Source organism: Homo sapiens, chromosome 11 (genome assembly GCF_000001405.40).
Source record: "Homo sapiens chromosome 11, GRCh38.p14 Primary Assembly".
NCBI classification, from domain to species: Eukaryota; Metazoa; Chordata; class Mammalia; order Primates; family Hominidae; genus Homo; species Homo sapiens.
Genome location: NC_000011.10, coordinates 464,491 through 485,888, shown reverse-complemented (window position 1 = coordinate 485,888; position 21,398 = coordinate 464,491). Strand labels below are relative to the sequence as shown.

General features: G+C 53.2%; 1 protein-coding gene across 11 annotated transcripts in view, besides 5 other annotated features; it reads right to left on the bottom strand.

Annotated features, from left to right (window-relative positions):
- PTDSS2 (phosphatidylserine synthase 2) overlaps positions 1–21,398 on the bottom strand; it is a 43,132-nt gene that overhangs the window by 5,511 nt on the left and 16,223 nt on the right. For 10 of the 11 annotated variants that reach the window (XR_002957201.2, XR_242827.2, NR_138046.2 and 7 more), the window contains 2 exons: positions 11,912–11,994; positions 6,737–6,804 (listed from right to left, as the gene is read on the bottom strand). Coding sequence is in view for 6 of the 11 variants with exons in the window: in XM_047427642.1 (XP_047283598.1) it covers positions 6,737–6,804; positions 11,912–11,994 (151 nt within the window). In the remaining 5 variants the exon portion in view is untranslated. The remainder of the gene's footprint in view (positions 1–6,736; positions 6,805–11,911; positions 11,995–21,398) is intronic. The other variant, NM_001329545.2, reaches the window with a different exon arrangement.
- Positions 1,031–1,552: an enhancer, noted in NCBI's record as "H3K27ac-H3K4me1 hESC enhancer chr11:484337-484858 (GRCh37/hg19 assembly coordinates)". NCBI's record gives its function as "activates a minimal SCP1, AML or CMV promoter by ChIP-STARR-seq in primed H9 embryonic stem cells {active_cell/tissue: H9 hESC(primed)}" and the evidence as "EXISTENCE:reporter gene assay evidence [ECO:0000049][PMID:30033119]".
- Positions 8,001–8,996: an enhancer, noted in NCBI's record as "H3K4me1 hESC enhancer chr11:476893-477888 (GRCh37/hg19 assembly coordinates)". NCBI's record gives its function as "activates a minimal SCP1, AML or CMV promoter by ChIP-STARR-seq in primed H9 embryonic stem cells {active_cell/tissue: H9 hESC(primed)}" and the evidence as "EXISTENCE:reporter gene assay evidence [ECO:0000049][PMID:30033119]".
- Positions 13,509–14,031: an enhancer, noted in NCBI's record as "H3K27ac-H3K4me1 hESC enhancer chr11:471858-472380 (GRCh37/hg19 assembly coordinates)". NCBI's record gives its function as "activates a minimal SCP1, AML or CMV promoter by ChIP-STARR-seq in naive H9 embryonic stem cells {active_cell/tissue: H9 hESC(naive)}" and the evidence as "EXISTENCE:reporter gene assay evidence [ECO:0000049][PMID:30033119]".
- Positions 14,032–14,555: an enhancer, noted in NCBI's record as "H3K27ac-H3K4me1 hESC enhancer chr11:471334-471857 (GRCh37/hg19 assembly coordinates)". NCBI's record gives its function as "activates a minimal SCP1, AML or CMV promoter by ChIP-STARR-seq in naive H9 embryonic stem cells {active_cell/tissue: H9 hESC(naive)}" and the evidence as "EXISTENCE:reporter gene assay evidence [ECO:0000049][PMID:30033119]".
- Positions 18,229–18,728: an enhancer, noted in NCBI's record as "H3K4me1 hESC enhancer chr11:467161-467660 (GRCh37/hg19 assembly coordinates)". NCBI's record gives its function as "activates a minimal SCP1, AML or CMV promoter by ChIP-STARR-seq in naive H9 embryonic stem cells {active_cell/tissue: H9 hESC(naive)}" and the evidence as "EXISTENCE:reporter gene assay evidence [ECO:0000049][PMID:30033119]".

Sequence of the window (21,398 nt, the reverse complement as noted above, 5' to 3'; positions counted from 1 at the left end):
CGCGCACGGTGAGCACACGCGCGCCCGTGCACTGTTTACGCTCGCCTGCGCGCACGGTGAGCACACGCGCGCCCGTGCACTGTTTACGCTCGCCTGCGCGCACGGTGAGCACACGCGCGCCCGTGCACTGTTTACGCTCGCCTGCGCAGTGAGCACACGCGCCCGTGCAGTTTACACTCGCCTGCGCAGTGAGCACACACGCGCCCGTGCGCTGTTTAAACTCGCCTGCGCACAGTGAGCACACACGCGCCCGTGCACTGTTTACACTCGCCTGCGCAGTGAGCACACGCGCCCGTGCAGTTTACACGCCTGCGCACACGGTGAGCACACGCGCCCGTGCACTGTTTACACTCGCCTGCGCACACGGTGAGCACACGCGCCTGTGCAGTTTACACTCGCCTGCACAGTGAGCACACACACCCGTGCACTGTTTACACTCGCCTGCGCACACGGTGAGCACACACGCGTCCGTGCACTGTTTACGGTCGCCTGCACACACACAGCACACATGCCCATGCACTGTTTACAGACGCCTGCGCAGTGAGCACACACGCGCTCGTGCACTTACACTCGCCTGCGCACACAGTGAGCACACACGCGCCCGTGCACTGTTTAAACTCGCCTGCGCAGTGAGCACACACGCGCCCGTGCAGTTTACACTCGCCTGCGCACAGTGAGCACACACGCGCCTGTGCAGTTTACACTCGCCTGCGCAGTGAGCACACACGCCCGTGCACTTACACTCGCCTGCGCACACAGTGAGCACACGCGCCCGTGCACTGTTTACACTCGCCTGTGCACAGTAAGCACACGTGCCCGTGCAGTTTACACTCGCCTGCGCACACAGTGAGCACACACGCGCCCGTGCACTGTTTACGCTCGCCTGCGCAGTGAGCACACGTGCCCGTGCAGTTTACGCTCGCCTGCGCACACAGTGAGCACACACGCGCCCGTGCAGTTTACACTCGCCTGCGCAGTGAGCACACACACGCCCGTGCACTGTTTACAGACGCCTGCGCACAGTGAGCACACGCACCCGTGCACTGTTTACACTCGCCTGCGCACACGGTGAGCACACGCGCCCGTGCAGTTTACACTCGCCTGCGCACAGCACACACACCCGTGCACTTACACTCGCCTGCGCACACGGTGAGCACACGCATCCGTGCACTGTTTACGCTCGCCTGCACACACACAGCACACACGCCCGTGCAGTTTACAGACGCCTGTGCACACAGTGAGCACACATGCCCATGCACTGTTTACAGATGCCTGCGCAGTGAGCACACACGCCCATGCACTATTTACAGATGCCTGCGCAGTGAGCACACACGCGCCCGTGCACTGTTTACACTCTCCTGCGCACACAGCACACACGCACCCCTGCACTGGCTGTGTTTACAGACGCCTGCACACACAGTGAGTGCACACATGCCCGTCCTCTGTGAGCTATGGCACCCAGGACCACGCAGCCCACCCAACACCCAGGCCTCAGTTCCTAATATTCAGTAAGGACCCAAGGCTCTTGGAGAAGGGGCTGATTCCAGGACCAGGGTGGGGAGTGGACAGGAGGAGCCTGGAGCATCCCGCAGTGCTAGGAAGTCAGGATGTCCTCAGAAAAACAAAACGAAAAGCCAAGAACTCCGTGAGGGTGTGTGAAAGCAATACAGGAACCACGTGGAAATTCCTTTTGGCAAAAGAATTTGGGCACCACGATAAATAGAGCAGCGCTGAAATAAATATGCAAGTGTAAGACAAGTATCTGTACGTCCACACTGATATAAATAAATACATGATGGAATAACTAATGGTAGAGAAGCAGGATCTCTCCCATGCACAAGAATTCCTGGCAACGTGCAGACGCCACACACCAAGGGGGGCAACGAAACTCCCCTCCCTCCATGCAGGCTGCACCAGTGACCTCCTTGTGGAGAATGCACTATGGATTGACAGTGGAAAGCCTGACAGACACATCTCGCCAGGCAGTCAAGGTCCACAGCGCCAGGGATACGTCATGGTGATGGTGCCAGTGCGCGCCTTCACCCCAGACAAATACTGAGAAAACGTCAGACATCCTCACAAACCCTGGTGCCAAAGCCAGAACAAGACATTCCAGGAAAATTAAAGGACAGTACCTCTTACAAATATGGATGCAAAAATCTTAGATAAAATGCTAGGAAAGCAAGTCCAGCAGTATGTAAAAAGGCACACCCTGGGACCCAGCAGGATTTATCCCAGGAATGTAAGGTTGGTTCAGGATAAGAAAATCAATCAATGTAATTCATCATATTAACAAAGGGGGAAAAACACCCATATGATCATCTCACTTGATGCGAAAAATCATTTAACAAAAATCTAACAACTTTTCATGATAAAAACACTCAACCAACTAGGAATATACTAGAACTTTCTCCACTCAGTAAGGGAGATCTACGAAAAACTCACAGAACCTTCTCCCCTCAGTAGGGAGATCTACGAAAAACTCACAGAACCTTCTCCACTCGGTAGGGAGATCTACGAAAAACTCACAGAACTTTCTGCACTCGGTAGGGAGATCTACGAAAAACTCACAGAACCTTCTCCACTCGGTAGGGAGATCTACGAAAAACTCACAGAACCTTCTCCACTCGGTAGGGAGATCTACGAAAAACTCACAGAACCTTCTCCACTCGGTAGGGAGATCTACGAAAAACTCACAGAACCTTCTCCACTCGGTAGGGAGATCTACGAAAAACTCACAGAACCTTCTCCACTCGGTAGGGAGATCTACGAAAAACTCACAGAACCTTCTCCACTCGGTAGGGAGATCTACGAAAAACTCACAGAACCTTCTCCACTCGGTAGGGAGATCTACGAAAAACTCACAGAACCTTCTCCACTCGGTAGGGAGATCTACGAAAAACTCACAGAACTTTCTGCACTCGGTAGGGAGATCTACGAAAAACTCACAGAACCTTCTCCACTCGGTAGGGAGATCTACGAAAAACTCACAGAACTTTCTGCACTCGGTAGGGAGATCTACGAAAAACTCACAGAAACTTCTCCACTCGGTAGGGAGATCTACGAAAAACTCACAGAACCTTCTCCACTCGGTAGGGAGATCTACGAAAAACTCACAGAACTTTCTGCACTCGGTAGGGAGATCTACAAAAAACTCACAGAACTTTCTCCACTCGGTAAGGAGATCTATGAAAAACTCACAGCTAACACACTCAGTGGGATAAAGACTGGATGCTTTTCCCCTAAGATCAGGAATCAGATAAGAATGTCCATCTGGCCAGGCACAGTGGCTCATGCTTATACTCCCAGCACTTTGGGAGGCCAAAGGGGTCAGACCGCTTGAGCTCAGGAGTTTGAGACCAGCCTGGCCAACATGGCGAAACCTCATCTCCACAGAAAGTTAAAAAATTAGTCAGGTGCGGTGGCTCACTTGAGACCAGGAGTTCTGAGACCAGCCTGGCCAACACGGTGAAACCCCGACTCTACTAAAAATACAAAATTAGTCGGGTGTGGTAGCATGTTCCTGTAATCCCAGCTACTACGGAGGGTGAGGCACGAGAATCGCTAGAACCTGGGAGGCGGAGCTTGCAGTAAGCCAAGATCGTGCCACTGCACTCCAGCCTGGGCGACAGAGCAAGACTCCGTCTCAAAAAAAAAAAAAAAAAGCCCATCCTTGCCTATTCTAGGAAACATTGAGCTGGAGGTTCTGGGCAGGGCAGCTACGCAAAGAAGTAAAAGACATCGGCCGGGCACGGTGGCTCATGCCCATAATCCCAGCACTTTGGGAGGCCAAGGTGGGCGGATCACCTGAGGTCAGGAGTTCAAGACCAGCCTCAACATGGAGAAACCCTGTCTCTACTAAAAATTAAAAAAAAAAAATTAGCTGGGCATGGTGGTGCATGCCTGTAATCCCAGCTACTCGGGAGGCTGAGGCAGGGGAATTGCTTGAACCTGGGAGGCGGAGGTTGCGGTGAGCCAAGATCACACCACTGCACTCCAGCCTGGGCAACAAGAGCAAAACTCAGTCTAAAAAAAAAAAAAAGAAAAGAAATAAAAGACATCTAGATTGGAAAGGAACAGGTAAAACTATCTCTATTTGTAGATGACATAATCTTGAATATAGAATATTCTTAAGAGTCTACCCCAAAACACCACAACTATTAGAGCTAATCAGTTCAGCACGGTTGCAGGACGCAAGATCAGTACACAAAAATGAGCTACATTTCCATACATGAGTAACGAGCAATGCAAAAGTAAAATTAAAACAGTTCCACTTACAAGAGCACACAATGAACAAAATAATTGGAGTAAATGTAATAAAGGAAGTACAAAACTTAAACTCTGAAAACTGTAACACATTGTTGGAAGAAATTAAAGACCTAAATAAATGGAAAGCCATCCCATCTTCAAGGACTGACGGAGTTAATATTGTCAGGATGACACTACTCCCAAAACAGACTTGCAGATTCGATGCAATCCCCATAAAAAATTCCACCTGTTCTTTTCACAGGAATGGAAAGGGTGACCCTCACATTCATTTGGAAACGCAAGAGACCCAGATGATTCAAAACCATCTTGAAAAAGAACAAACTGGGTGAACTCACACTTCCCAATTGCAAATGTCACTTGAGGGATATTCTACTAGATCATGACCAATCCTCGAAACCGTCCAGCTCACCAAAAACAAGGGGCCTGAGAAACTGTCACTGCCGAGAAAGAGGAGCCCAGGCCGCGCGTGGTGGCTCACACCTGGAATCCCCGCACTTTGGGAGGCCAAGGCAGGCAGATCTTTTTTTTTTTTTTTTGAGGCGGAGTCTCGCTCTGTTGCCCAGGCTGGAGTGCAGTGGCGTGATCTCGGCTCACTGCAAGCTCTGCCTCCCGGGTTCAGGCCATTCACTTGCCTCAGCCTCCCGAGCAGCTGGGACTACAGGCGCCCGCGACCACGCCCGGCTAATTTTTTAGTATTTTTCAGTAGAGACGGGGTTTCACCGTGTTAGCCAGGATGGTCTCCATCTCCTGACCTTGTGATCCGCCCACCTCAGCCTCCCAAAGTGCTGGGTTTACAGGCATGAGCCACCGTGCCCTGTCAATGCAGGCGGATCATTTGAGGTCAGGAGTTCAAGACCAGCCTGGCCAACAAGATGAAACTAAAAATACAATAAATTAGTGGCGCATGGTGGCAGGTGCCTGTAATCCCAGCTACTTGGGAGGCTGAGGCAGGAGAATCACTTGAACCCGGGAGGTGGAGGCTACAGTGAGCTGAGATCACACCACTGCACTCCAGCCTGGGTGACAGAGTAAGACGTCGTCTCAAAAAATAAATAGTAAAAGAAAGAGGAGCGCAGGAAGACACATGCAACCTGGATGAACCTCAGAGGCACTGTGCAGGGCGGGAAGAGGCTGCCCACCGCATGATCCTGGGTGAACCTCAGAGGCACTGTGCAGGGCGGGAAGAGGCTGCCCACCGCATGATCCTGGGTGAACCTCAGAGGCACTGTGCAGGGCGGGAAGAGGCTGCCCACCGCATGATCCTGGGTGAACCTCAGAGGCACTGTGCAGGGCGGGAAGAGGCTGCCCACCGCATGATCCTGGGTGAACCTCAGAGGCACTGTGCAGGGCGGGAAGAGGCTGCACACCGCATGATCCTGGGTGAACCTCAGAGGCACTGTGCAGGGCGGGAAGAGGCTGCCCACCGCATGATCCTGGGTGAACCTCAGAGGCACTGTGCAGGGTGGGAAGAGGCTGCCCACCCCACGATTCCATTCTAGAAGAGACAGAAGCGAACCCTCACCAGCTGTCAGGGGTCAGGGCCGGGTATGACTACCAAGGGGTAACACAAAGGAGTTTTAGGGCCAGTGGAATTCTTGTGCGTCCTAATTGTGTTTCTAGAAGTCTACACAAATGCTAAAATTCACAGAATGTACACTGCCTCAGAAAAGTCAATTTTGCCACGATGATAAAAAATCTCATCATGCACTGATGGAGTTTTAAGATTGGGAATAATAAAGTCCTTTGTAAGCTGAAGACAGCCCCAAAAATGTGTGTTTACACTAAGTTAAACAGAACAAAGAGTATTAATAAAGTAGGCATTTGCAGCAGCAACACAGCCTGACCCAGGATTTACAAAGGAGCTGCGTCTCCCACCTGCACCCTGCTCGTCTTGCAGAATGTGGTCAGGATGGGGAAGAAGCACACACAGTCACACTGGTCAACCACAAAACACAAAAACAAAGACCCCGTCCCTCTTGGCGCTGGGGTCCCCTCTGAGGCCCAGATTTGCCCCGGCCATGCAGACGCTGGCCTGCATCGCAGGACCTGACTTGCGGCTCCCTTCACGCCCAGTCCCCACCAGCACTCAGATACGACAGCTGTGGGCAAAGCCACCCTGGCAGCTGCACCACTGGCCCTGCCCTCTTCTGTGCCTGCACCACTGGCCCTGCCCTCCTTAAGTGTGGCCCTGCTAAATGGCCACAGTCAGCGCCCCACCAGCAGATGCTCCTGGAGGCCCCCCGCAGCTCGGCCTACGTTTTGAAGGTCTAGCTTTGCTGCCCCCCATCACTCAAGGGCCGCACAGATGCTCCTGGAGACCCCCCGCAGCTCGGCCTACTTTGTGGGGGTCTAGCCCTGCTTCCTCCCATCACTCGAGGGCTGTGTGGGCAAGGCCTCCTTTGTCACCATGCCTGGGGCCACACTGTCACCTAAGTTCCCAGGTATCCAACCCAGAAAAACAGCTTACCTGGAAGAGTATAAAGATGAGAAACAGCTCGTAGACCACACTCACGCAGAGCCAAAACCTCCAGTAAGCTACAAAGACAGACGACAGAACGTTAGTGCGCCCGGTCCAGGCCTCCACGGCCCCGCTCAGCCCCAGGCCGGCTCCTGGCTCCTTCACACCCAGTGTCTCTTCTGGGCCCTTCACAGGCCCCTGGGAGAGCCTTTATAAAGAAAGCTGTAACTCAGAATTAGGCACAATTTCTCTCTGAAAAGTGAATTTTTTTTCTTCATTTTTTCCATTCCAGTACTCAAATCTTTTGCCCATAAATTGTTGCACAGAAGCAGTCAGCACACATCCCTGCCTTGTGTTTACGAGTGATGCTTCTAAACTTGCGCCGTTAAGTTTGGAGTAGGTTTTTGGTGGATACCTTTTTTTTTTAGATGGAGTCTGTCGCCCAGGCTGGAGTGCAGTGGTGCAATCTCAGCTCACTGCAACCTTCACCTCCAGGTTCAAGTGATTCTCCTGCCTCAGCCTCCCGAGTAGCTGGGCTCACAGGTGTCCAGCACACCCGGCTAATTTTTGTATTTTCAGTCGGGACAGGGTTTCACCATGTTGGCCAGGCTGGTCTCGAACTCCTGACCTCAGATGGTCCACCCGCCTCAGCCTCCCAAAGTGCTGGGATTACAGGTGTGAGCTACTGTGGCTGGCCACTTTTTTTTTTTGAGACAAGGTCCTGGCTCTGTTGCCCAGGCTGGAGTGCAATCTTGTTGCACTGCAACCTCTGCCTCCTGGGCTCAAGCAATCCTCCTACCTGAGCCTCCTGAGTAGCTGGGACCACAGGTACGTGCCACCACATCCAGCTAATTTTTGTATTTTTTTTTTTTTTGTAGAGATAGGGTTTCGACATGTTGCCCAGGCTAGGATACTTTTTATCATGTTAAAAAAATCTTTCAATTCCAGTATGTTAAGTTTTTGTCATGGATGAATGTGAATTTTTGTTTTTCTGCATTTAAGGGGATCAATTTTTTCATGTTGATGTGATGAGTTACATTAACAGACTTCTAACATGAAACCATCCCTCAATTCCTGACTTCCCACGGCTCCGAGCAGCTCACGGCAAGACGTGCAGACGTGAGGTTTTCGGACTAAACGCAGGAGGCCCCGACGTACTCAGGGGAAGACGGCCCCCGTGGCTCATGAAAAGCCGCCATCATTGGCAGGAAATACAAACGCCCTGGCGTTCTTAGGAAAAGCTGCACAGGGAGGTCTGGGACCCAAGACAGACGACTGAGATCACAAACTTCTTCCTCACGCCTTGGGATAAGAAGAACCTGGAAACTTCCCAGTGGCCCAAGAGTTTGAGGGGCTCGTGGTGAAATTAACTCGGGGCAGCCCTCGCCCCACAAGGGCTCGCCAACTGAAGGGGACGCCTTCGGAGCAGGTGCCCGGCCTGCAGGCGCTCTCTGAGGGGACAGCTACACCCATGAAACCATCATGTTCTGAGCGGGCCACAGGTCACCACGACCAGTACTAACTTCCCTCCCCGCACTGCCAAGTCGAATCTTTCTCATGTTTCTCCTGTTGGGGAAGGCCCCAGCTCCCCAGATCAGAAAGGTGGCATCTCGGACTCCTCTCCCCACTCACGCTTCCCACCCGACCAGCACCAGGCTGCCGCCCCGGAATACCCAGCAGGCCCTTGGTCTGCATTCCTGGGTCGCTTCCCGGAGCAGCTCCAGCACCTCCCTGACCCCAGGGCCACCCCCCAGGCCCCAGCACTCATTTGTCTTTCTAAACATCACACCAGAGGGGAAAGACAGACAGGCAGCCTCAGCAGCCCTGGAAATGCTGTGGCTGACACAGCCTTCAGAGGGAGCCAGGAAGAAAATGCCGTTCACACAGGAGGGATGCCCTCCTCAGTGGCCCAGAACGTTCCACCTCCCTCAGAGCTGCAGCCAACTCAAGTTTCCAAAGAAAGCAGCACCCCAGATGGCCGGGCTGGGCCCATTTCCACTCCTCCTCATGAGGCCCAGTCACTAATGGCTACGGCTACAGCTGCCGGACTGGGCATTCCTGGGCCAGACCCAGGGGAGTGTGAAGGTGGGCAGAGCCCACAGGGACCACCTTTCTGGAGAAAGCCCTTCTCCCTGCCCCCCACCCAGAGCCTCCGCTGCACAGGACTCATCACTTGTCCACTTCAATGTGTTGTGACTGCAGAGAGTTGAGGGCTCCCTGCCGGCCCCCAAGTTAACAAGACGCGTGGAAGAAGGTGGCTCCAGGACAGGCTTCCCCGTCAATAAATCGAAGATTGGCAAAGTAATATGGAATTTATGCCAAGCAAACTAAACGGACAGAAGAAAGGTAGAGCAGAGCTCAGACTAAAAACTGAACACCCCAGGAACCCCCAGTCCTGCCCAGTGGGAGGGGACGAGCCACAACTCAAGAGACGCCGCGGCCGGAGCTTTTGGAAGCGCCAAGACCTTCAGGCCCAGATGCTCCACATCCCGCCAGGTGACCTGCGCCAGAGCTCCTGACTGCTCAGAGCTGAGGGTCTCCCGGGAGTCTCTCCCTGTGCCAGGGGTCACATGCCAGGACAAGCTGCTGCCTGCTGACCAGTCTGTCCCACTCACGGCTGCGTCCCAGTCCCCAGTGATGCCGCCACCCAGGAGGGATTTGGTGCATCTCCAAGCAAGGACGGCCATGGGTTGAGCTTCCGGCAGCTTTTCTTCCCTCCAAATCCACCCAACAAGCACGTAACTGCACCAGGCTTTTCACTGTGTGCCGGGAAGTTTCTCACCATCACCGCGCCAGGCCTTTCACTGTGTGACGGGCAGTTTCTCACCGTCACGGCGCCAGGCTTTTCACTGTGTGACGGGCAGTTTCTCACCATCACTGCACCTTCCACGGCTCTGCTGAGGAATCCAAACCCCTTGGAGGCAAGACCGTCTGTGCTCAGCCGGCTGGGCAGACAGGGCCCTGGGCCCTTCCCACACAGCTGTCAGCCAGCAGAGTGGCCTGCCAGGCACTCAAGGAGCCCTCTCTCAAGGCCCTGGGCAAGGAAGGGGCCAGCAAGACCAGCCTGCTTGGGTCACCGGACGGCTCCCTGCTCAGGGCCTCTGTGGGTGGGGGAGCTTCACTCACCACCATGGCACTGACCCTGGGGCAGACACTGCTCTCCTGGAGGCCAATTTTATAACACATATCACAGGCTTAAACTGTGTATGCCCTTTAATTCAATACTCACTTCTGGGACATTTTATTAAATGAATAATCAGATATTTACACAGAGCATACGTGAAAAAATTCACCACAGCCTAGTTTATTAAAATAAAACTGGAAACTCTCTAAATATACAATATTATGGCTTAAATAAGTTAGTTAAATGTAGTACATTCTAATGACAGCAAACAAGCAGTCATTAAAATTTCGGGTGTTAAAAAATTAGTAAGGAAATGACTAAAGTCATTTAAACCTAAATGATTAAAGTCATTTTAAAAATTAGTAAGGAAATGACTAAAGTCGTTGAACCTGAAGTGGAGAATGCACAAAGCCACGTGTTCAGGATTCCACTCTTTCGAGGCTGTGAATATGTCTGTACACACAAACGCGTGAATATGTCCTACACACAAACGCGTGAATGTCCGTATCACACAAACACGTGAATATGGCCGTATCACACAAACGCGTGAATATGTCTGTATCACAAATGCGTGAATATATCCGTATCACACAAACGCGTGAATGTCTGTACACACAAATGCGTGAATATGTCTGTATCACAAACGCGTGAATATGTCCATACACACAAATATGTGAATATGTCCTACACACAAACGCGTGAATGTCCGTATCACACAAACGCGTGAATATGGCCGTATCACACAAACGCGTGAATATGGCCGTATCACAAACGCGTGAATATGTCCGTACACACAAACACGTGAACATGTCCATATACACAAAGACGTGATTATGTCCATATCATAAACGCGTGAATATGTCCGTATCACAAACGCGTGAATATGTCCGTATCACACAAACGCGTGAATATGTCCGTATCACACAAACGCGTGAATATGTCCCACACACAAACACGTGAATGTGTCCATATCACACAAACGCGTGAATGTCCGTATCACACAAACACGTGAATATGTCCGTATCACACAAACTCGTGAATATGTCCGTATCACAAACGCGTGAACATGTCCATATACACAAAGACATGATTATGTCCGTATCATAAACGCGTGAATATGTCCGTACACGAACGTGTGAATATGTCCGCACACACAAACACGTGAATATGTCCGTATACACAAACAAGTGAATATGTCCGTATCACAAACACGTGAAAATTTAACAGTGGTTATTATTTGTGGGTAGCTTTATTTTTAAGTATCTTTGTATTTTCGAAATTTTCTATAATACATACTCCTGTTGAAACAGAAAATGTTTCTAATTACTTCGTGTGGCCACTCAGGGGAAACAACCGACCCTACAGAAGCCTGAGCCCGCCTTCCTGGGGTGGGACTTGGGGGACAGAGTACACTGAGATTGGCGGGATGCTCTGGCCCACGAGGGTTTGTTAGAACTCAGGGCCATAAGGTGGGGTGGTGGCTGAGGCAGAGTGCGCTGGGCAACCACTTCAAGGGCAGGGGGTGGGCGGCACCTCACAGCTCCATCTGGAGCCCTCACCCACCCGCCCATGGCCTCACAGCCCCATCTGGAGCCCTCACCCACCCGCCCATGGCCTCACAGCCCCATCTGGCGCCCTCACCCACCCCCGCCCCCTCTGGTCTCAGAGTCCCACCTAGAGCCCACAGTCCCTGGCCTCACAGCCCCATCTGGTGCCCTCACCCACCTGCCCCCGGCCTCATAGCCCCATCTGGAGCCCTCGGCCACTCTGGTCTGTGGAAAGAGGAGGCAGAAGCAGGAAGAGAAGGGCTGGAGAGCCCTGGACAGGGAAGAGTGAAAGGGCCAGAGAAGGCCTGGAGAGACCCTCGGTGGTTGGAGGAGGAGCACACGGCCAGCTCAGAACCCCACGCCCTTGTCCATGTGGGAAGTGGCCTCGGAGGCCTCGGGGAGGGGCCAGGCGGAGGGGAGGACAGGACACTCACACCCAGCAGCACAGACACAGAGTGGCCGCTCAGAACAGAAATGCCACAGGGGCACACGGAAAAGGAAATGGCAAGTTACCTGGATGAGGTCTGGAAAATGGCCCGTCTTTAGCTTGTGTGACTCCAAAACATAAGAAAACCAAAATACTGGCCACAATACCTCTGCAAATAAAGAACAAACAGCCCCTCAGTGTGTGCAGGCTTCTCCCAGGAGGGAGGTGGGAGGCTGCAGGGACCCCCAGACACCCATTGTGGAACAGCCCCTGATGCTGGGGCGGGAGGAAGGGGCCTCGGGCAGAGCTGGGCGACTCCGCCGCGGGGAAAGCCCAGCTACCTCCACCACCCTGGGCCGGACATTCGCCCTCACATTTGCCGCCTCCGCGGCAGGGAAGGCCCAGCTACCTCCACCACCCTGGGCTGGACATTCGCGCTCACATTTGCCTCCTCCGCGGCAGGGAAGGCCCAGCTACCTCCACCACCCTGCACCCAACATTCGCCCTCACATTTGCAGCCCGCCCAGTGGCCAGGAGAAGGTCCCTGTGCTTGGGCTGCTGGTGGTTCCCAGTGTCACATCAGGAAGACACTGGCTCTACACAGAGGCCACCGAATGCCCCGCATGTGACCATCAGTGATCACAAAGCCCACGTAGGAGGGAAGGCGTCAGGAGCTACTGCCTCCCTGCTCCAACGCGGCAGGACCCCCAGGAAGTGTCTCTAGAGAGCTCCTGTGTCTTTTTGGTGTCAACTCATCCAAAACCAACGGGACTCCTGTGATTCATAAGATGGAAGCGTGAGAGCTGTAACTGCAACCAAAGATGCAGGTTCACGGGAAGGAGGATGCGAGGGACCGCTCTGGGCAGGGGCAAGGTGCTCCCTCCTCGGCAAAGCTCCTTGGGGCCGGCCTCAGCCAGAGTCCCAGTGGGTTTCGGTGAGCAGCAGCTTAGGCCGGCGGATGTGCAGACAGCCCTGGTCACAGGCACACTGCTCACATCCGCTCGCTGCACCCAAGGTGTGGACCCGCTCTGCGGACGCGCTCTGTGCTCTGCAGACGCTCGGATGCACCCATCCTCTCCAGTCGTGCTCAGCTCAGGGTCTGAGATCCACTGGCCGCTGCACCACCCAGTCCCTCCCACGGCTCGGCAGTGCCGTGCCGACAGTCACACCTTGGCGTGTTCGCACGCTGGGCGGCCTCTGGGTTTTGGCTGCCGTGAGGGAAGCTGCACACACACACGCACGTTCGTGTGGCCGCAAGAATAGACGGGGCCACAGAGACACGCTATCTATTTTTTAAGACAGCGCTGTTAAAAAATACCCAGTAACAACTTCAGTCTCAGAAATTCCCCTCTCTGCCTGCAGGAGTGCCTGGCCTCAAAGTCCTGAGTAGACAGAGGCAGGTGAGGCCAAGCACCGCCCGAGGCTTGCAGGATGGAGGAGGGCACAAGGTCGCTGGCCCCTGGTGCAGCCGGGACAAGGGTCTACTGCTTCTGGGCAGGTGCTGCTCTCCACCCAGAGCCCTGAGGGTCTCACCCTCGGCAGGACATTCATGGCCCACCCAGGCGAAACCTGAGTTTCTGACCCGGTCTCCACCCAGGCCCCAGCTCCCACACTACCGCTGTCAGCCTCCAGGGACAGAGGCAGAGATGCCCTCGCTGCTGGGTTCAGCAAGGTGGGGCCCGCGTCCCTGTCACCGGTACCCCTCCCGAGGTCTCTCAGTGCTGAGGGGTGGGAGGTGTAAAAAGTACCTTTCAGGGCCCCCTGGAGCCAGACATAGGCCCCACCTCAGCTGTGCCTCCAAGGGGCGTGGGGAGGGTCATAACATTCAGTGGAAAGACAGTAAAACGTCCCCCTACCCTCCCCAGAAAAGATAAAAATGAAAAGAGGAACATGGGCACTGGCCAAGGGAAGCTGCTCCCGGTGCAGGCGCACGTCACCCCAGGCCGCCATCCGCGTCACCCCAGGCTACCATCTGTGTCACCCCAGGCCGCCATCCGCGTTACCCCAGGCCACCATCCGCCCGACAGGCGCGCATCACCCCAGGCCGCCATCCGCGTCACCCCAGGCCGCCATCCGCGTCACCCCAGGCCGCCATCTGCATCACCCCAGGCCGCCATCCACGTCACCCCAGGCCACCATCTGCCCGACAGGTGCGCGTCACCCCAGGCCGCCATCCACCAGACAGGTGCGCGTCACCCCAGGCCACCATCCGCGTCACCCCAGGCCACCATCCGCGTCACCCCAGGCCGCCATCCACGTCACCCCAGGCCACCATCTGCGTCACCCCAGGCCGCCATCCGCGTCACCCCAGGCCACCATCTGCGTCACCCCAGGCCGCCATCCACGTCACCCCAGGCCACCATCCGCCCGACAGGCGCGCGTCACCCCAGGCCGCCATCCACCAGACAGGTGCGTGTCACCCCAGGCCGCCCTCCGCCTGACAGGCGCGTGTCATCCCAGGCCACCATCCGTGTCACCCCAGGCCGCCCTCCGCCCGACAGGCGTGCGTCACCCCAGGCCGGTGCTCCCTGAATCAGCTTGTGGCAGCCCCCACACGGCATGCTGCCCAGAGGCCAGCTCAGACCGGGTCACACAGGACTCTAACCTGGCCACACATCACATAATGTTTATGACAACTTTATAAGGCTAATTTGTTCATAAGAATTACTTGCCGGGCACAGTGGTTCACACCTGTAATCTTAGCACTTTGGGAGGCTGAGGTAGGTGGATCATTAAAGGTCAGGAGTTCGAGACCAGCCTGGCCGACATGAAACTCCTGTCTCTACTAAAAATATAAGAAATTAGCCAGGTGTGGTGGCAGACGCCTGTAATCCCAGCTACTCGGGAGGCTGAAGTAGGAGAATCACTTGAATCTGGGAGGTAGAGGTTGCAGTGAGCTGAGATCGCGCCACTGCACTCCAGCCTGGGTGACAGCAAGACTCAGTCTCAAAAAAAAAAAAAAAAAAGAATTACTTAAGTACTTGAGAAGGTGTGTCCCGTTGGGTAAGAATGAGGGAAGTGCTTTAAAAGGAAAACAAATATATTGCATTTTAAAAATAAATTTTTAATTTTAGAATGGTTTTAGATTTACAGAATTATTGTAAAAATAGTAAAAGCTCCCATATCTCACAGGCCCAGTTTTCCCATTAACATCTCACCATTAATAAGCCGGTGCTGGCTGGGTGCGGTGGCTCACGCCTGTAATCCCAGCACTTTGGGAGGCTGAGGCAGGCGGATCACAAGGTCAGGAGTTCGAGACCAGCCTGACCAACATGGTGAAACCCCATCTCTACTAAAAATACACAAATTAGCCAGATGTGGTGGCAGGCACCTGTAATCCCAGCTACTCGGGAGGCTGAGGCAGGAGAATCACTTGAACCCGAGAGGCGGAGGTTGCAGTGAGCCGAGATCACGCCACTACACTCCAGCCTGGGTGACACAGTGATACTCTGTCTCAAAAAATAAAATAAAATAAACATAAAAAATAAAAAATAAATAAGCCAGTGCTGCCACACAGCTGCTGAGGCCTACACTTCCTTCGCTCTCCCCTGATGTCCTTCCCCCTGCCCCGCCCCCAACAATCTCTTCCTGGAAGCCACATGGCATCTACTCGTTCTGTCTCTTCAGGCTCCCCGAGGCTGGGACGGTTTCTCAGACTCTCCTTGTCTCTGATGACCTGGATGGTTTGGAGGAGGCCTGGTCAGGAATTCTGTGGAATGTTCCTTAGTGAGATGGTCGACTATGCCTCTGCATGGCCGGGCTGGGGTCGTCGGGGTTGGGAGGATGGGGCAGCAGCCTCCCCGTCGGCCACGCCATGAACATGACCAGTGCATGCTGACCTGACCACTGGGCTTGGGGGTGTCTGCGGGCACCTCGGCTGCAGCGTCCTCCTCCCACTGCCCTCTCCGTGCTGCACGCCCAGGAAGGAGGTCAGGTCACCACGCGCAGCGCACAGCGGTGCCGGGAGCTCACGCCAGCTCCTGGAATGGGGGGATCTACCTCATTTACTGAAAACCTTCTGCAGGGAAGGTTGGTCTTGTTCCCTCTGTTTATTTACTCAATCACTTATATCACTATGGGCTCGTGGATGTTTATTTTCTACTCTGGGTTATATTCTAATACTACTTTATTATTTTGTTGCTCTTTGGCCACTGGGAGGCTCTTTCACTGGGACGCAATCCCGTGACTGTGGGGTTTTGTTTACAGAGCTCCTCACTTTCTGGAACTGCCAGGATCAGCTGATCCTGGGCATTTCCTGCCCCGGTGCTGGAATCAGCCATTTCTCCTCAGAGCCCTGGCCCCGTGGACTGGAGGGCACTAGGAACCAGGATCTGGGCCTGGGTGTGCTCACTGCTGCAAGCATAGCTGGTTCTAGGCCCCCTCAGCTTGTACAGCAACAAGATCTGTGTGTATCCATTAACCACTGCGCACACACTGTTTAACCATCTTTGTCTCTTCTGGGCTAAACGTGCAATGGTAATCCACCATCACAGCGGCCACTCCAACCTCGTCCCTCTGATTACCCGGAGACTCCCCTCCTCCTCCCTCCGATTACCCAGAGACTCCCCTCCTCCTCCCTCCGATTACCCAGAGACTGCCCTCCTCCTCCCTCCGATTACCCAGAGACTGCCCTCCTCCTCCGAGTACCCAGAGACTCCCCCGGAGACTCCCCTCCTCCTCCCTCCGATTACCCAGAGACTCCCCTCCTCCTCCCTCCGATTACCCAGAGACTGCCCTCCTCCTCCCTCCGATTACCCAGAGACTCCCCTCCTCCTCCCTCCGATTACCCAGAGACTGCCCTCCTCCTCCTTCCGATTACCCAGAGACTCCTCTCCTCCTCCTTCCGATTACCCAGAGACTCCCCTCCTCCTCCCTCTGATTACCCAGAGACTGCCCTCCTCCTCCTTCCAATTACCCAGAGACTCCCCTCCTCCTCCTTCCGATTACCCAGAGACTCCCCTCCTCCTCCCTCCGATTACCCAGAGACTCCCCTCCTCCTCCCTCTGATTACCCAGAGACTGCCCTCCTCCTCCTTCCGATTACCCAGAGACTCCCCTCCTCCTCCTTCCGATTACCCAGAGACTCCCCTCCTCCTCCCTCCGATTACCCAGAGACTCCCCTCTTTCTCCGATTACCCAGAGACTCCCCTCCTCCCTCCGATTACCCAGAGACTCCCCTCCTTCTCCAATTATTCAGAGACTCCCCTCCATCTCAGAGACTCCCCTCCTCCGATTACCCAGACTCCCCTCCTCCGATTACCCAGAGACTCCCCTCCTCCAATTACCCAGAGACTCCCCTCCTCCTCCCTCTGATTACCCAGAGACTCCCCTCCTTCTCTGATTATCCAGAGACTCCCCTCCCACAGCCATCATACACACCACAGTGACAGAGCTGCCAGTCAGCACCTCTGTGCAGCAAAACTTTATCGACTAGAGCAGCGTCTGTGCCATTCCTTTTGCCTCTGGCCTTATAGACACTGCTCATTTCCAAAGTTACTCAGCACCTTCCTCTGAACACCCTTCAGGAAGGTCACGGAATGCATCTGCAGTAGTTAAGATTCTTGTCAGTCGGCCTTCCCCGCCGGGACCCCCATCTCCTCAATGAATGTTTAAAATCTGCACACGGTCTGCTCGTGTTGTCCAGTTCTACAGGTTCGGACAAACGCAGTGTCATGTACCAACCAGGATGGTGCCACACAGAGTGGCCTCACTGCCATACGAATGCTGCATTCTACTATCCACTCTCCCCTTTCCCCGGGAAACAACTGATGTTTTCACTACCACATCATATTGCCTCTTCCAGAAGGTCATCGAGCTGAAATCACAGTGCGCGGCCTTCTCAACTGGCTCCTCTCACTTAGGAATGTGTATTTATAGAAACATGTATTTAAGGTTCCTCCCGGTCGCAGTGGCTTAATGCTCATTACTATCTTTTAGAGATGGGGTCTCACCCTGTTGCCCAGGCTGCAGTGCAGTGGCTCAATCACAGCTCGCTGCAACCTCTGCCTTCCGGGCTTGAGATCCCACTCAGCCTCTTGACAGGTGGGACCATGTGTGTGTGCTGTGACACTCGGCTAAGTTTTTTAGTTTGGTAGAGATGGGGTCTCAGTATGTTGCCCAGGCTGGTCTTGAACTCCTGGGCTCAAGCGATCCTCCTGCCTCAGCCTCCCAAACTGCTGGGATTATAAGCGTGAGCCACCATGCCTGGCCTGCATGCAGGTTTTTATGTGGACATAAGTTTTCAATTCAGTTGGATAAATATTCAGGAGCAAAACTGCTAGATTGCATGGTAAGAATCTATCTATCTATCTATATCTATATCTATATTTTTTGAGACAGAGTCTCGCACTGTTGCCCGGGCTGGAGTGCAATGTTGCGATCTCGGCTCACTGCAACCTCCGCCTCCTGGCCTCCCGAGTAGCTGGGATTATAGGTGCCTGCCACCATGCCAGGCTAATTTTTTGCATTTTTAGTAGAGACGGGGTTTCACTATGTTGGCTAGGCTTGTCTTGATCTCCTGACCTCGTGATCCACCTGCCTCAGCCTCCCAAAGTGCTGGGATGACAGGCGTGAACCACCACGTCCAGCCCAAGAATATATTTATATTTAGTTCTGTGAGAGTCTGTGAAACTGTCTTCTAAAGCGGCTTTAGCCTTTTGTATTCCCACCAGCAATGGGTGAGAGTTCCTGGAAGCGTTGGTACTGTCGGTTTTTAAGGTTTTAGCTGCTCCGTCGGGTATGCAGTGGCGTCTCCCTGTTTCCAGTTCCTGAAGGACAAATGATGCTGGGTATCCTCCCACCGCAATCTCCCGTCTGAATAACTTCCCTGGTGAACATCTGCTTAGACCTTTCACCCAGGTTTTGCTTTGTTTTGAGACAAAGTTTTGCCTTTGTCACCCAGGCTGGAGTGCAGTGGCCCCATCTCGGCTCACTGCAACCTCTGCCTCCTGGGTTCAAGTGATTCTCCTGCCTTAGCCTTCCGAGTGGGTGTCACCCAGGTTTGTGTTTGAAAGAGAGGGTCTTGCTCTGTTGCCTAGGCTGGAGTGCAGTGGTGTGATCTTGGCTCACTGCAGCCTTGACCTCCCGGGCTCAAGGGATCCTCCCACCTCAGACTCCTGAGTAGCTGGAACTGCAGGTGTGCACCACCACGCCTGGCTAATTTTTGTATTTTTTGTAGAGACGGGGTTTTGCCATGTGACACGGTTTCGCTGTGTCCCCACCCAAATCTCATCTTGAATTGTAATCCCCACGTGTGGAGGGAGGGAAGTGACTGGGTTATGGGGGCGGTTCCCCCATGCTGTTCTCATGTAGTGAGGGAGTCTCACGAGAGCTGATGGTTTTAGAAGCGGCAGTTTTGGCCGTGCGCGGTGGCTCACACCTGTAATCTCAGCACTTTGGGAGGCCGAGGTGGGCGGATCACTTGAGGCCAGGAGTTTCAGACCAACCTGGCCAACATGGTGAAACCTCGTCTCTATTAAAAAATACAAAAATTAGCCAGGCGAGGTGGCGCATGCCTGTAGTCCCAGCTACTCGGGAGGCTGAAGCAGGAGAATCGCTTGAACCCAGGAAGCGGAGGTTGCAGTGAGCCCCAAGATCATGCCACTGCACTCCAGCCTGGGCAACAGAGCAATACTCTGTCTCAAAAAAAAAAAAAAAAAAAAAAGAGTGGCAGTTTTTCCTGTGCCCGTTCTCAGTCTCTCCTGCCGCCTTTGTGAGGAAGGTGCCTGCTTCCCCTTTTGCCTTCCACAGTGATTGTACGTTTCCTGAGGCCTCCCCAGCAATTCGGAACTGTGAGTCGATGAACCTCTTTCTTTTGTAAATTACCCAGTCTTGGGTATTTCTTTATAGCAGTATGAAAACAGACTAATAGACCATGTTACACAGGCTGGTCTGGAATTCTTGGCCTCAAGCAATCCTTCTGCCTCAACCTCCCAAAGTGCTGGGATTACAAGTGTGAGCCACCCTGCCCAGCCTGTTTTTCTTCTTCTTGAGCTTTAAGAGTTCTTTGCATATTTTGAATACAAGTACTTTATCAGATAGGTGTTTTGTAAACATTTTCAACAGCTTGTGGCTCACCTTTTCGTTCCCTTAACAGTGTCTTTTACAAAGCAGAAATTTTAATTTTTTCAAGGTCTCACTCTGTCGCCTAGGCTGGAGTGCAGTGGTGCTACCATAGCTCACTGCAGCCTAGACCTCCTGGGTTCAAGCAATCCTCTCGCCTCGGTCTCCTGAGTACCTGGAACCACAGGCATGTACTACCACAATTAGCCAATTTATCTTTTCCTAATTTTTAGTAGAGATGGGGGGGGGGTGGTCCTCACTATGTTGCCCAGGCTGGTCTCAAACTTGTGACCTCAAGCAATCCTCCTAGATTGGCCTTCCAAAGTGCTAGGATTAAGGGCATGAACCACCACACCCAGCAGACAATTTTAATTGTAATGAAGTCCAATTGATCAAGTTTTTATTTTCATGGATTGTGCTACTGGTATTTTATTATCACCAAACCCAAGGTCACTATACTTTCTCCTGTGATTTCTCCAAGATGTTTTATAATTGTGGCTGAGCATGATAGCTCAGATGTTTTATAATTATGCCTGGGCATGATAGCTCACATCTGTAATCCCAGCAGTTTGGGAGGCCAAAGCAGGGGTTTGAGACCAGCCTGGGCAACACAGTGAGACTTTATCTCTACAAAAAATTTTAAAAAGTAGCTGGGTGTGGTGGTGCACACCGGTAGTCCTAGCTCCTTGGGAGGCTGAGGCAGGAGGATTGCTGGAGGCCAGGAGTTGGAGGCTACAGTGAGCTGTGACTGCGCCACTGCACTCCAGTGTGGGTGACAGAGCAAGACCCTGTCTCAAAAACAAAAAGAGAAGTTTTATAGCTTCTCATTTCACATTTAGGCTTATCTAGAATCCATTTAGAATTAGGTTTTGTGAGAAGTGTCAGGTCTGTGTCTAGATTTGCACGTGGATGTTCTGTTGCTCTAGCGCCAGTGTTGAAAAGGCCATCCCTTCGCCATGGACTTGCCTTTGTTCCTTTGTCAAGGATCGGCTGCCTGCAGTCGTGCGCGCCTGTTTCTGGGCTCGGTATTTCGGTGCATTTTTGACAGGAAGTCTTGAAATTGTGTAGTTTCTGTGTCCAACTTTGTTATTCTTCAGCACTGTGAGTATATTTATATGCATTATGTTTTATATGTATTACAAGTAAGGATATTTATATTTTAAGTGTATTACATTTATATATGTTACATGTATTTTATTGAGTAAAATGTGTGAAGAGGTTTAATTTACTAAGTTTAAAATGGGATAAAAATGTAATGGACTGGTGAGGAAAGCTGGACTCTCCCCCAGGGTCACCCCCATACAGGCAGATCAGTGAACGGTGCCGTGTCCACGCAACGGAAGCTCCCCAGTGAGCCCACCGGCAGGCACAGCAAGGATGCCGCGAAGCTGCCCTCCAGCGGGAGAGGCCAGGCCGGAGGAGCAACTGCGTTCACAGGAAGCCGGGGCCGGCAGCACAGACCCTGCTCTCACCCAGGCAGATGCACTGGCACTGCCCGAGCCGGGGTGAGGCA